Raw genomic sequence first — 16,070 nt, 5'->3', positions numbered from 1 at the left:
TTCAACATTCTTAAAGAAAAGAATTTCTGGCCCGGCATGGTGGCTCACGCCTGTAATCCCAGCACTTTGAGAGGCCAAGATGGGTGGATCATTTGAGGTCAGGAATTCGAGACTAACCTGGTCAACATGGTGAAACCCCATCTCTACTAAAAATACAAAAATTAGCTGGGTGTGGTAGTGTGCGACTCTAATCCCAGCTACTCAGGAGGCTGAGGCAGGAGAATTGCCTGAACCTAGGAGGCAGAGGTTGCAGTGAGCCAGGATCATGCCACTGCACTCCAGCCTGGGCAACAGAGCAAGACTCTGTCTCAGAAAAAAAAAAAAAAAAAAAGAAAAAAAAAAAAAGAAAAGAGAAAAGAAAAGAAAAGAATTTCCAACCCAGAGTTTCATATCTGGATAAACTAAGCTTCATAAATGAAGGAGAAATAAAATCCTTTTCAGACAAGCAAATGCTGAGGGAATTCATCACCACCAGGCATGCCTTGGAAGAGCTCCTAAAGGAAGCACTAAATACAGAAAGGAAAAACTGCAAAAACACAATGAACTGCAAAGACCAATGACACTGTGAAGAAACTGCATCAACTAGTGTGCAAAATAACCAGCCAGCATCATGACGTCAGGATCGAATTCACACATGAAAATATTAACCTTAAATGTAATGGGCTAAGTGCCCCAATCAGAAGGAAATCACAAGATTGAATCCACCAAAAAATATGTAATACTAATTAGTTACTGTGAATTTAGTCATTCACTTATCAAATTTTTAATAACCAAATGTACCCGATGCTGTGTTAGACTTTTTAAATTCCTAAGTTATACAAGCTAACTGTTCCCAAGAAACTTATACTTGGGGTGCAAGGGGTGGGGGATGAAGTGAACAACAACAAATAAATAATTAACACAAGATACCAAGAGATGCATATGTAACTATTCATCACTAACTTTTTAAGAATACAGGTATTTTTCTTAAGTCATAGAAATATATGGTGCTTATGATGGATAATAGACATTTTACAAATTTCAATTATTTTACTGGCCACCGGTATAAATCCTCTGACTCCTTGATCCCACTAATTATATTGATCTCAATATTTCATCAAGGTGCTTTTGATTGAAATACTGAGATCAGACTTGTCAGTAAAGGTCAGTGTAATGAATATTAGACCCGTAACTTCATGACAAACTTTAAAATAAATACAAATCATTTTTTAAATCATTAATTTCTCAAACAGTTTTATTACTGATTATGAGTGGAACAGAACTGAACCTGAGATACAATAGTTAAAAGTGAGATAAATCCTTGCTGTGCTAATCTTTAATGAAGAAGACACATAATAAACAACTGAACAAACTCTATTACATGACATAATAACAAGTTATGTGAAGCAGTTAAGCTTCATATACTCAAAACTAAGAGTAAGAGATGAAGAGTGATAGGTGGATATTTTTGACAGGTGGTCAAAAAATTCTTTCTCTGAAGTCTTCATTAAACAGAGACCAGAAAGAACTGAGGACACAAAAAGGAAATATTTGGTGGAAGAATATCAAAGGCAACTAATTTAGGAGCATGCTTGAAATACTTGAGAAAAAAAGAAGGTCAGAATGGCTGCAACAGAAAATGCGACTAAGAGGAAAATACTTTTCCAGGAAACAATAAATGTAGGGTTCTATGCCACAGAAAAGACTTGGGTAAATTTTTAAAGAGACCAAATTCTGGCCAGGCATGGTGGCTCATGCCTGTAATCCCAGCACTTTGGGAGGCCGAGGCGGGCAGATCACAAGGTCAGGAGATCGAGACCCTCCTGACTAACACGGTGAAACCCCGTCTCTACTAAAAATACAAAAAAATTAGCCAGGTGTGGTGGCGGGCACTTGTAGTCCCAGCTACTTGAGAGTCTGAGGCAGGAGAATGGCTTGAACCTGGGAGGCAGATCTTGCAGTGAGCAGAGATCACGCCACTGCACTCCAGCCTGGGCAACAGAGCGAGACTCTGTCTCAAAAAAAGAGACCAGATTCTATTGCCCAAATAGTATGACATGGTGCAGTTTTAAAAAAATATTACTGTACCTCTGGTGTAGAAAATAGCACACAGAAGCAGAAGCAGGAAAGGAAGCAGAGAAAGCAAAGTAGCCCAGGTGAAAGATGATCAAAGTAAAAATGTGGGCAAGTAATTAGATTTGAAAGTAGAGTCAAATGCAATTTGTAAATGGTGTAGATGTGAGATATAAAGGAAGGGAGGACTCAAATATATCTCCAAGCTTCTTGGCCGATAGAATTAAAAAATTGTGGAGATACTTACTAAGATGAAGAATAATAGGGGCATGGGGTGGAGGTGAGGGATGATGACAAAGTTGGGAGAACAAAACCAAGACTTTAATTTTGGACATCTCTATATACTCTTCACAGGTCAGCCCATGTGAATTGTTTCTATTCACCACTATTCATCAGGGCTTCTCCTGAGTCAGGTTGCAATGAGGGAAAAGTCCATTTGCAACTAATGCCAATATATTTCTTTAATCCGTTATGAATTAGCACTAGGTTATTTTCTCTCCTATGAGTTAGTTGTAAATAATGCAACCCTTCACCTGCCATGTGCCCAAACGTGAGATGAAGGGTAAGCACTGGTGCAACAGAAGCAAGTAATAGGGGAATCTGGTACAACTGTTGATATAATTTGTTTTACTTGAGCCCACATTGAAATGTATTACTTTCATACAACAATTAATTGAAACTATACTCACCTGACCTTATGAGCATGTGTTTCTGACAACAGCTGGGTCATTATAGAAAATATCAGTTATGTAATGACATGTCATCGTCATTTGGTGTTCCATTGTCAGGAGCTGACTCTCTACGAAAGCCCAAGGCTCCGTAGCACGTCAGGAGCTTCCTCCCCTACCCTCCTAATGAAACATGGTTTTCAGCTAAGAAGACATTTGCTCTCCACAATGGTAAGGGTTTTGTCTGCAAGTTGCAACTTTCTTATCAACCAGGTATACCTCCAGCACCACTGATATCTCACCTCCAACTGACTAAGCAGTATGCTCTGTAGCAAAAATCTTTTCAAGCTCTGAAGTAGGAGTTGCATTCCCAAGTGTTGTAAAAGCTATGTGCAAAGTCCAGAAAGACCACAAAGCACCCCGCCTCTTGCTTTGTGGTATCAGATGCAAGATAGAACTACTCACTCTTTATCTCAGAGAAGTTATCATTTCTGGAGTTTATTTTTGGCATACAACTTCTGACAGACATGTGGATTTAAAATTATATATATATATATGTATAATGGAAAAGATATAAATATATAAATATATATAATGGAAAAGTTATATATATAAACTTCCATTATATATTTATATATCTATTATATATATTCCTATACACACACACACACACACACACACACACACACACACACACACACAGAGACTGTATTTATTGGAAAACAGTTTTCATATTCAAAATGTATAACATGATATTATGTGCATATACATGGTATAATGATTACCACAATCAAATTAATTACCATCTGATCTCACAGTTTCACTTCTGGGTATACATCTGAAGAAAATGAAATCAGTATCTTGAAGAGAAGAGATATCTGCACCCTCATTTTTACTGCAACATTATGCACAATAGTCAAAATATAGAAACAATCTAAGTATCCACTAATGAATGAAAGGAAAGAGAAAATTTTATATTTGCACCAACACACACACAAACACACATCACAGTGGAATATTATTTAGCCATAAAAAAAGAAAGAAATCCTGCCATTTGCAACAACATGAATGGACCCGGAGGTCACTGTGCTAAGTAAAAAAAGCCAGGCACATAAAGACAAATACTGTATGTTCTTACTTACCTGTGAACTCTAAAAAAGGCAAACTCATAGAGACAGACAGTAGAACGGTGGTTACCTAGCATGGAGAGGAAGAGGGAATGGGAGATATTGGTTAAAGGGTAATCACATTCAGTTATAAGATGAATAAGTTCTAGGGATATAATGTACAACATGGTGACTATACTCAATAATATTGTATTACTTGCTTTAAATTTGATAAGACTATGCAGCCCTAAAAAGAATGAGACCATTTCCTTTGCAGGGACATGGATGAAGCTGGAGGCCATATCTTTAGCAAGCTAAAGCAAGAACAGAAAACCAAATACTGCATGCTCTCACTTATAAGTGGGAGCTAAATAATGAGAAAACATGGACATGTAGAGGGGAACAATACACACTGGGGCCTTTTGGAGGGTGGACAGTGGGAGGAGGGAGAGGATCAGGAAAAATAACTAATGGGTACTAGGCATAATACCTGGATTATGATATAATCTGTACAACAAACCCGCATGACAAAAGTGTACCTATGTAACACTTGTGCACTTGTACCCCTGAACTTCAAATAAAAGTTAAAAATAAATAATAAATAAATAAAAATTTGATAAGAAAACAGATTTTTTTAAGATGTGTGGCCTTTCCATGTTGCTAGAATAATTGCTATTTTAATACATTCCTTTAATTCTCCTAGTTTGATGGTAGAATTTTTTCAATATTCTTCTAACTCATTTTTTCTATTAACATATCATTAAGCATAATGTTAGTTGTAAATTTTTTGGTAATGGGCTTCCTAAAAAAATTATTATCACTTTGCTGACAAGTTTTATCACATTGCTTATTGGATTTCAACTAATGCATTTTTTGCATCTATTTAAATAATCATGTGATTTTCTCCTGCAGTCTTTATTTTTATTAAATTTCTAATTTTAATATACTCTTAATTCCTAGGACAAACCAACGTTAATCCTTAATGATTGTTCTTAAATGGGTATCTTTTATACTAATATTTTATTTGTTTTCTTGTCTATGTTCATAAGAAAGATTGGCCACCATTTTTTTAATGAACATCATGCTGGCTTCATAAAATCAGTGAAAATTCTTTTGAAAATGTATATTTTTTAATAGCTAAAGAAACATTTACAACATCGATAATCTTGAATGTTGGAAATAACTCACAAATAGAGCCATTTGAGGCAGATGTTTTTGTGGCAAAGTTGTTTTTAAAAAATGTGAATTATTTACTGATCAGATAATGATTACTCAGATTTTAATATCTAATATTTTGCATATAGTTAGTTTTAGGAAGTTTATTTTTCTAGAAATTTACCTTTTTCATCTAAATTTTCAAATGACTGCATAAAATTATTCGGAAATTCTCTAGTCTTTTTCACACCTGACAAATTTATTGTGGTGTTGTTTGTTTATAATTCCTGATATTGTTGAGTCCAACCTTTCATTTTTCTTTTTGTATCCTTCTTCTATTATGTGTGTTCTACTTAATTGTTTTCTATTTCGTTTTTCTTCCTATTTTTGCTTTACTTTTCTCTTTGCTCTTAACACATTTTCTTTTCTGACTTCTTGAGAGGTAGGCATACGTTGTCTATTTGTCTTTTTTCTTTTTTAATATGTACTATACATTTTAACATTTTCTACTATAAAGTTAGATATTTTCTCTATGCACTGTCTTAACTGAATTTTATGAATTTTGATATGCCAATTTTCCTTAACATTTCATACAAACATTTTCTAATTTCCATTATGCTTTCCTTTTGTACCCATGAGTTATTTAGAAGTATATTACTTAATTTCCAGTATGTGAATTTTCTAGTTATCATTTTTTATAGATCTCTTTCTTAAATCCCACAATGGTCAGAATATATTCTAATTGATTTAAATATTTTTTAACTTTGTTGAGAGTTGATTTATTACATAAGACATGATTACTTTTGTTAAAAATATAATATGCACTTTAAAAGATTGTTGTTGGGTACAATGTGTTCTGCCTGTCAATTCTGGCGAATTTACTAATCATTTAGGTCAATATTCCTATTTGCTAAAATTTTTGGTTTAATTTTTCTATTGATTACTGAGATGGTTATATTTTAACCTCAAATATACATATACACACACACACACACACACACACACACACACACACACATAGATTTATGAATTCTGATTTTTATTTTGTCAATTTTCCTTTTACATATTTTGAAATAGTGATAATAGGTACATATACATTTAGTTTTCATGTATCTTTTTGATGGATTGTTCTTTTCATCATAAATCCCACTTTATCTTTAGTAGTTATTCTAATTTTAAAGTTAATTTTGCTGCTCTTTATTTTTTTTTTCTTTCTTTTGGTCATGGTTTCTTGGAATACCTTCTACATCTTTTCTCTTTCTATTCAAGTTGCTTTTAAAACAGTGTTCATAAAACTATTTGCCTTTCAAAAGGATCATCATATATTTAACCTTTAATGCAATTGCTGATATATTTGGGTTTATATTTGCCTTATTTTCATTACACTTGTTTTATGGTTTTCTTCTTCTTTCTTTTCTTTATTTAAGTACTGAAGCATTTTAAAAATTATTCAATTTTTCTTTTCTATTAGCCTGTTATATATTATGAGTTTTTAATAGCTACTTTGAATATTAAACTATGCATCCTTCACTTATAGTTAAATATAAATTCATGCTTCTAATTGCTCTTAAGCAATACAGATCCTGAGAATTTTGTTATCCTAAGTGAAGGTCCTTAGATAAGCAGTCTTACCATCACTGTGAGCTGGTTAGAAATACAAATTCTCAGGCACCACCTCAGAGCCAATGTATCAAAATCCGAATTTTTAACATTACAGCAAGCGATTGAGTTGCTCCTAAATTTTGAGAAATATTCTCCTTCCTGCTTTTAACTTTATTACTATCTGCCTTTATTACCTACCGTTGCATTATTGATCCTACTATATGGATTTCTTTTTTTCTTTTTCTTTTTTTTTTTTTTGAGATGGAGTCTCGCTCTGTCACCCAGGCTGGAGTGCAGTGGTGCAATCTCAGCTCACTGCAACCTCTGCCTCTTGGGTTCAAGTGATTCTCCCACCTCAGCCTCTCAAGTAGCAGGGATTACAGGCATGCACCAAAGTGCCCAGCTAATTTTTGTATTTTTAGTAGAGATGGGGTTTCACCATGTTGGCCACACTGGTCTCAAACTCCTAATCTCATGTGATCTGCCTGCCTCAGCCTCCCAAAGTGCTGGGATTACAAGTGTGAGCCACCACACCTGGCATATAGATTTCAACTCTGGTGAAATTACTCATCTTTTCATCTACTTATTTAATTCACAACTATTTAAATGCTAGCATCTGATATCTCTAATATGTAGAGCCTGGGGATAAATTTTCTTTTCCTGTGTTGCTTTTTTTTTCTCTCACTTTGCTTAATATTCTTTCTGTCAAGTGTTTGTTTTGATTATTGAATGCCAGCATTATGTGTGGATAATTGTAGGTGCTCTGGATTATGTCATCTTCCTGTAGAGATGATTATCTTCTTCTCTAGCAGGCACTATAATCATAAATCTCCTCAACTTGTTCAGGGACTTTGCTTTTCCAAGGGCTGCTTTAAAGTTTGCGTAAGGCTTGGTTTACCTTTCATTCATCTCCACTTCTGAAATTCCAACAAAGAGCCTGAGGAATCTTGCTGGACTCCTGATTGACTCCTGAATTCCATTGCTTTGTCTCATCCACACCATGAAACTGATTAAAACTCCATGCAGCTTCTCAGACTGTTCTGTCATTAATGTTTGGAGAGTAAAATGGAAGCTGAATTCAGCCTTCTTTGTCCTTTCCTCATTTCTGGAACCTCAGTATCTCAAATTCTAGATGCGTCAAATTCAGGGAGACTCAAATTCCAAGTTTTGTCTCTCTATCCCTTTCTGATTTCCTAAAATGCTAATTGATTATTAGTGTTTCAGCAGCCATTCTCTCTGGGGGCTTATTGGGCATATTGTGTACTCTTGACTGAAGGCAAGAATCAGCAAATACCAAAAGAAAAACAATACGCAGTTGATTGGACTTACATTATTGTGTTTCCCTTTTCTCCAGCATGTTTCCTCTAGTCTTACCTGTCTAAGCAGCTCTCCAAGTCCCTCAACTGGGTTACTATTATTGTAGTTGTTTAACGCAGATTTTAAGTTGTTCTTTGTTGGAATATTGGTGTTTCATAAGTCACTTCCTCATAAAGCAGAAGTTAGCCTAACATTAAGAAAAACTACCAAATCCTATAGCCTATATAGTTATTAATGTTCTGATAAAGATATTTTATCAGAATTTTGCCTTACACTTTCACTTAACCAGAGGTTCAAATGTTAATAATTGAACTGTCCACACATAGTAAGATTCAATATGACACCACTTACCACCAGCAATGTGGCCCTTAATACCTTCATAGAGGTATGCAATCCAACTCTAATATTCCATCTTAAAGATGGAGGAGACTCCAAGTTAGCAAGAGTGAGAGAAAAACAAAATAAAATAATAAAAACAAATATATTCATAAGTGAGCTAGCTTCAGCTTCCAAATAAAATGCAGCCCCTTACCAAATAAGGTAAGAACTCTTACAGATAGACTATGTGAAACTATCACATCTTGGAAAGAGAAGGGAGAGTTCTTTGCTTGCTCCATCCCTTCTTTTATCTCCCATTGTTCCAACATCATCCAGTAGAGAATTAACACTGCTTTTCTGGGTTGTGATACTGACACTGTCTGGCACCATTCAGAATGTCTTGCCTGGGTCTGACCAAGCTATGGTGTTTTCCCACAGATGGAGTCTAAAATCACTGTGGTAAAGTCAAGAATTCATACCTTGGGAAACTGAGACCGCAAGTTAGGTGAAGTATCTGAGTTTCTCCTTTGAACAAGAGGTTGAGACCCAGGGAACAGGAGACTGATAACTTCTGGGAAGCTGCATGGACTGGATCTGGTAGAGGGCACAGCTGAAAGTACATATCTGGAATTAATCAGTACATTGATGATAATTAAATGGACTCTTAACCTGCCCTGGCCATAAACTCCCACTTTTAAACTAAGATCTGGCAACTGGAGCAGTAGCTTCTTTCTCTCTCTCCCTTTCTTTCTCTTTCTTCTTTCTTTCTTTCTTTCGTTCTTTCTTCGTTCCTTCCTTTTCCTTTCTCTCTTTTTCTTTCTTTCTTTCTTCTTTCTTCCTCCTTTCTTTCTCTTTCTTTTTTTTCTTTCTTTCATCTTTCTATCTTTTCTTCTTTCTTTCCTTCTTCCCTCCCTTCCTTCCTTCCCTCCTTCCTTCTTTCCTCCTTTTCTTTTTTCTCTCTCTCTTTCTTTTTTTATTTCCCTCCTCTCTACCACTCCCTCTTTCTTTTCCTCCCTCCCTCTCTCCCTCCCTTCCTTCTTTTCCTCTCTTTCTCCCTTTATTATTTTGTTCCTCTATCTTTTTTTCTTTTTCTTCTTTCCTTCCTTCTTTTTCTTTTCTCCTATCCTCTCCTTGACAGTTTATCTATCTGGCCTCTTTATCTTACTGTAACTGACTCTTCATATCATTCAGATCCCAGCATATGTCATCTTCCCTAACATCTTTATAATATCTCTTTCCCCCACTTGCCAACCTGGCACTTTTATCCCTTTACTGTACATTGTTTTCTTCATGGCTTTTGTCACTATCTGGGAATTATTAAATATATGTAGGGTGTGTGTGTGTGTGTGTGTGTGTGTGTGTGTGTGTTTGTGTGTGTGTGTTAACTTTTTATTTTCTTTCTCTCCTAGCATCAGGCAAGATGCGTGATGGCAAGAATTTTGTCTGTCTTTTTAATGCTTCTATTTCTACATCCAAGGACAGAGCCTGAACATATTAGAATAGTAGAAGCTATGACATTATTTATGAAGGAAACATACAGAATCTACCTGGTTATCATTGAAATAGCTATGATTTCAATCCAATGAAGAGGAATAACCTGAGAATAATTCAGAAAAAATAAGCAAATAGATTAGTTAAATCAAATAAAGTGTTGACACAATTTAGGAAGGGATAAGATATTTGCAAACAGAAATGAGATCTGAAAATCAAGTAATAGTTAAATTCAATTTACAGATGTGGCCCAAGACCCAACACCTTTGTTATTATATAGTCTTCATTTTAGTGACTCTAGAAGAGTTAAATCCCCACTCAAATTCCTTCTTTCCAGCCCAGATCTCTGGTTGATACACAACTCAGCTAAGGAACACTGTAATGACATTTTTTGAGATATTATCATCAAATTTTTTGATTTTGTAATTATCTCTTTAGTGATTTAGGAAGTTTAGAATTAAATAGAGTGATGAAACAAATCAAATGCATAAAACTTTGGTATTCATATTTGTATTTAAAGTTTATCAACACATTTTATATACTTATTACATTTGGACTTAATTGTTTCATATAATTTCTCATAGAAAATTGTGATTCCATTTTAGAATTTTTAATTAAGTAATTGCTTTAGTCACTGAGTTGAAGTTTTAAAGATAACTTTACACTAAATTTGCGAAAGAATCACAGTTAAATATTTTTAAGCTTAATTTATTAGAATCTATGAGCTATTTAAGTTCTTGACAGAGTTTATTAGGTTAGTCAAACAATTAAAGGACCTAAAAAGACACAAATTATTAAAATAATCAATGCTGATAAAATTATATGTAAATCACAAATTACTAAACTCTACTTAACAGTGATAATTAAATTATACTAAATTATTGGAGATATTACTAAGATTTGTGGGTTGAATTTAAATGTTGAATCTGTTTTTTATTATATTAATTCAACAAATTAAGGATCAATTTTAAAAGTCAAGTTTTTAGGAATGAGTTGTTCTGTTTACAAAGACCACCATCAGTTATACCATGAAAATTATTTTAAAAGCACATATTAATTTTCAAGAAACATTTTTTGAATAAATCAATGAATGAATAATTTGTATTTTAGTACTTTGAGGATAGTGACCTTTACTTAACCAATCTGCAGAATCATCTATGGTGTTTGTTAACAACACAGATTGTAGAAGTTCCTTTATTTGGATTAACTAATTGAGTATATCTAGGTGGAACCCAGAAATCTCTCCTTTTTATTAATGTCTCATTTGATTCTGACAATTAGCAAATTTGTGATACACTGCCCTAATGTGCATTCCTGTACTGAATTTGCTTCCCATCCAGTCTGGGTCTGAAGTTTTTTTTATTAAGTTCCAAGTCTTGTGCTACCAACCTTCCTGACACAACTATTTCCTTGAATGGACACACACCCATGCTACTTGAGGCTCTCTCTTGCTAGCTGAGATTTCTTATTGTCCTTGATAGCAGATCTAATCTGACTTTCTGTCCTAGCATAAGAATCCTGGGTAATATGTTCAGATACATCAGCAGGCTGCTTACTAAGCTCACTTCATAATAGTTCTTTTTAATATATGACAGCTGATTGGTGTCAGAAATAGGCATGAAAATGGTAAATTTGGATGGCAACTTATAGTAGAGTTTGACTTCTTTTATGTCCTTCTCAGAGAAGTTCAGATAACATGAATGTTTATTTGAATATGTTCAAATTACAGTAAGGGTCTTGAGTTAATTTATTTCTTATACTCGTCTAAAAATAATTCAGTTTTTCCTTTTTGTAATAAAATCAAATACTTCATTCAATTGAAAATGCAGAAAATAACTTTCCAGGTTGGTGATCTGTTCCTAGGATGTGCTATTTGAGCATTAATAATTCTTTTTATAATTCATGGATCCTCATTTTGCTGTGAAATGATACCCTTTCCTGTGTAAAATCACAGGTAAACATGCTTATTCAATAATCACCAGCCAGAGTTTACTCAGACAATGCAAGATTGGTTCTTAAAGTTATTGAAATCTATGCCATTTTCTGCTGTCACTTTGTATTCAAAATACTTCATCTGAATCAGAACTGTGATTATTGAGGACTGTCTCTAATATCCTGCTGTCTGTCAGCAAAATTATTAAGTCTGAGTTGAATTTTTAAAATCCAGTGGCTTTTTTCTCAAAAAATAAAATGCATAAACCTATCATCTAAGATAAATGGGTTATCTAGTACCAGTGGATAAAAAAAAGAAAGTCTGCTATCCATGAAATCTTATATCCAGGAAAGAGTGTCAGCACTCAATGTCCCAAATCACTCTAAATTGAATTCACCCTCATATTTCTCCTCACTTTCACCTTTTTTTGCAATATTGAAAGTACAATTCAGTTACTTTTATACTAGATGTAAGAATATCTTTTGCTAATCATGTCATCTCCTAATTGAGGACAGAAAGATCAAGAAAGAAGTGCCTTATAGGATCACCGTAGCTGCAAATTTGCAGCACGGTAATTGCCCAGCATGTGCTAACCAACTGTTCATCTCATCTAGGCACACTCAGTCAGCAAGTAAGGAAGCAAAGAGGAGGAAAATAATCAATGGCAATCACATCTGTATTTTTATTCCCTTCAAATGCCATTGTCATCTCATTTATGGGAGAAAAACAAAAAGTCATTTAGAAAGTTATCAAAATAAAAAGGAGAAAAGGTGAAATTTAGAGACAGGAAATATTAATGCAAATTGAGGAGAAGGTTTAATTTCTTCAACACTGAATGAGTTTACTTTTGTAACAAGAAAGGGTAACAGTATGTTGCTGTAGTGAGGGTGGCTATTGCAATAGAAATCTGAAAGTATTGCATGATGAATTGAATCATGCTGTGTACATCAGCAGGAGATAAGCAGAGAAGCTGGATTAGGGATTTTGTAATATACAGTTAGTCTGGTCATTACTATATTAGATTTTGAACATAACCAAGAAAATAAGTACGGTTAACTGTTTAATATTTTCTATACTAAATAAGGCTGACCATAATAATCATTAACTATCTAATATAGTTTTTTAGTGCACAGATTTAGAAGTGCCATTGTTTATACCAATGCTAAACTAAGCTCCAAGCCTCTCTTATTCCATGTCATGCCATATTCATTTGCATGTATACATATATATGTATATTTTCAGGCATGAACTTAATTTAAATAAAGACATGCATTCAAAGAGATCTGAAATTAACATCCCCATTAAATGCCTCAAACATATATTCAAATTATAAAATTTGATTTTATGTGTTTATATCACTCAGGCATAAAGAGGTAAATTCACATGAATGCGTTAGATGATTGGATTTATTTTCTTGTTTCAGGTTAAATAGAAATGTCTTATTTAAAACATTTTGGAAAGGGATGATTATTTGCTTCAGAGTTTTATTTGTTTTTTTTAGTTTTTTTTGTTAATAATGATGATAAATATCAGATCTTATGTTGTTTACATTTTGGGGAATGTTAATGAATGTTAACATGTACTTTACGGCAATAACCTTAGAATCACTCTTCTTAATCATCATATTTCTTGTTCCTAATTTCTGGTATAATGTTAGGAGACGGAGAGGGAAGAATGAACAGCAGCACATCCAGAGAAAACCTGAGCCAACTTTTAAGCATAATCTTAGTGTGGTTACATCTTACTTTCTGTCTTTAATTTAAATTACCATGTTATTTGGCTCCTCAGATAAGCACCATGCTTAAGTCTATCAGTATAGATGATGTTCCATATACGAAGTTTCCAGGTGTCCTAGACCATACACAGTTATCTGCAGGCCTACTGGATAACTACTTCTGTAAAGTGAAAATTACTTTTTAACTAACATTTTCATAATTGATCACAACTCATGACTGATTATAATCTAGAGTGTTTACCTCTTAGATAGTAAATCCCCGGCCAATGAGGTGTCAGCCAGTTAGGTAATAATCTCTTTTACATTACTGAAATTATCGCATGGATTCTACCCTGTCTCTTTTTGGTAAAATTCTGTAGATGAGAGTCTCTAATTTTCTTCTTTAAAGCGAGAAAGGCACCTGTGGTTTAGACTTACTCCTGATTTTGTCCAAAACACCTGTACCATTTCATCATAGGTACCCTCTTCTACTGAAGTGAGCAATACAAGTTTTCCCCCCTTGTAAAGATCTATTTCTGTCTCTAGCATTTTGCACCTATGAGTTCTGGATCCTTGGAAGACATAGGATTTTATTTTTCATAAAATGTTGATTTTAAAATAGTTCTAGATTTATTTTTAAAGTTAAGATAGTAATGAGTCTTCATATGTCCCACAGCCAGTTTCTCCCATTATTATCATCTAATTATTAAGGTACATTTGTCACAATTAATGAACAAATATTGTTACATTATTATTGACAAGAGTTCATAATGTATTCATTTTTTACTTTTTATCTAATATATTTTTTCTATTCCAGAATCCCACTCAAGGTTACCACATTCTATTCAGTCCTTATGGCTTCTTGGCTTCCTCTTTCTGTAACAGTTTCTTAGGCTTCTCTTGTTTTCAATTACCTTGACAATTTTGCAGGGCACTGGTCAGTTTGTAGAATGTTCTTTAACTGAGACATTTAATGTTTTTATCATAATTAGACTGTGGTTATGAATTTTTTTAAGAAAGAACATTGAGGTAAGGTGAAATTTTTATCACATTATATCAAGGGTACATACTATCAGCATGGTTTAACATTGCTGCTATTAATGCTACTCAGTGGCTGAGATGTGTTTGTCAGGACTCTTGTTGTAAAGTTATTTTTGTTTAGCTTCTTTTCATATGGTACTCTTTGGAAGGAAGTCACTGGGTGAAGCTTACTTAAAGTGTGAGGATTTATGTTCTGTCTCCTTGAAGGCAAAATATCTACATAAATTATTTCAGATTTTTTTTTTCTTTTTGAGACGGGGTCTCACTCTGTTGCCTAGCCTGGAGTGCTGTTTTTGCAATCACTGCTCACTCCAGCCTTGACCTCCCTGAGCTCAGGTGATCCTCCCACTTCAGCCTCCTGAATAGCTGGGACTACAAGCATGAACCACCATGCCCAGCTAGTTTTTGTATTTTTTATTCATAGTAGAGATAGGGTTTTGCTATGTTTCCCAGCCTGATCTCAAACTCCTGAACTCAAGCAATCTGCTCGCCTTGGCCTCTCAAAGTGCTGAGATTATAGGCATGAGCCACCTTGCCTGGCCAGGATTCTTCTACATGAGGGATTTGTCTCTTCACCTCCATTTATATATTTATTCAATCATTCACTCATTTTTATTACAATTAAACTCATTTATTTTAATATTTGGGTTACAGTCCTATATTAATTTTATTTATTTATTTATTTATTTTTGTTCAAATTGTTCCAGTATGGGCATTTGAGAGCACTTTCAATTGCCTTCTTCGTTATTTGACACATCCTCAACATTGCGGCGTTTTTGTTTATTTGTTTGAATACAGTTTCTGGCATTATAACACTTAATTCTAGGCCGATCTAGAATATTTCCTGCCCCGGTTCCCAAATCAGCTATTTCTCTAGCAATCCCTAGCGGCTTTTTAGGAGAAACAAAGATCTGAATGTGCTCATTTATACTGGGCGTTATTGATTCTAGGCTCTCTCAGATGAAAAGGAAGAAAATATATGTGTACATCCTAAATCCGTGTATATACACGTGTCTGTAAATATTTCTATGTAGCCATCTATATCTGTATTAAGCTAAACATCTATAAACATTCTATGTAACTATGTCTATCTTGAAAGAACTCTAATTCATTACCACATGGATTATTTTAACTTCCTTCTCTTTCTTATCTATAGCCTCTCACTTCAACTGTGAGAAACCTAACTGCCAATATCTACCACTCCTTTACTTGTTTATTTTCTGTCTATAAATACAATGGTTTCATAAATTGTAACCCATACTCTGTTGTGGAGGAACTTCATAAACTATAGTACAGTGCTTATGTAAAATTTATTTGCTTTTAGGATTAAAGATTTCACTCATTTCCAAAGTTACCAAGTCATCACCTTTTATCCCACCCCCTTTTGTGAGGTTGTTTCATACATATGTAATACAATTATATTCCTTTTTCACATTTTGCATTATATCCTCACATCTGACCTCCAAAATTATTTTTTCTAAGTTGCCTCTATTAAGTTTCACTGTTAGTGTTGTAAAGTTCTATGGGTTTTAACAATTGAATGATGTATATCTACCATTACAGTAATATATAGAATAGTTTCTCTACTCTAAAAATGTTCCCTTTTACCTATTTAACTCTCCTTCCCCTCTGTCGTATCTTTGGCAACCACCATTCTGTTTAATGGCTCTATA

The sequence above is a fragment of the Homo sapiens genome, chromosome 5 (assembly GCF_000001405.40).
Source record: "Homo sapiens chromosome 5, GRCh38.p14 Primary Assembly".
NCBI lineage: Eukaryota > Metazoa > Chordata > Mammalia > Primates > Hominidae > Homo > Homo sapiens.
The sequence above is the reverse complement of the archived record's forward strand: the minus strand, read 5'-3'. Positions refer to the sequence as shown.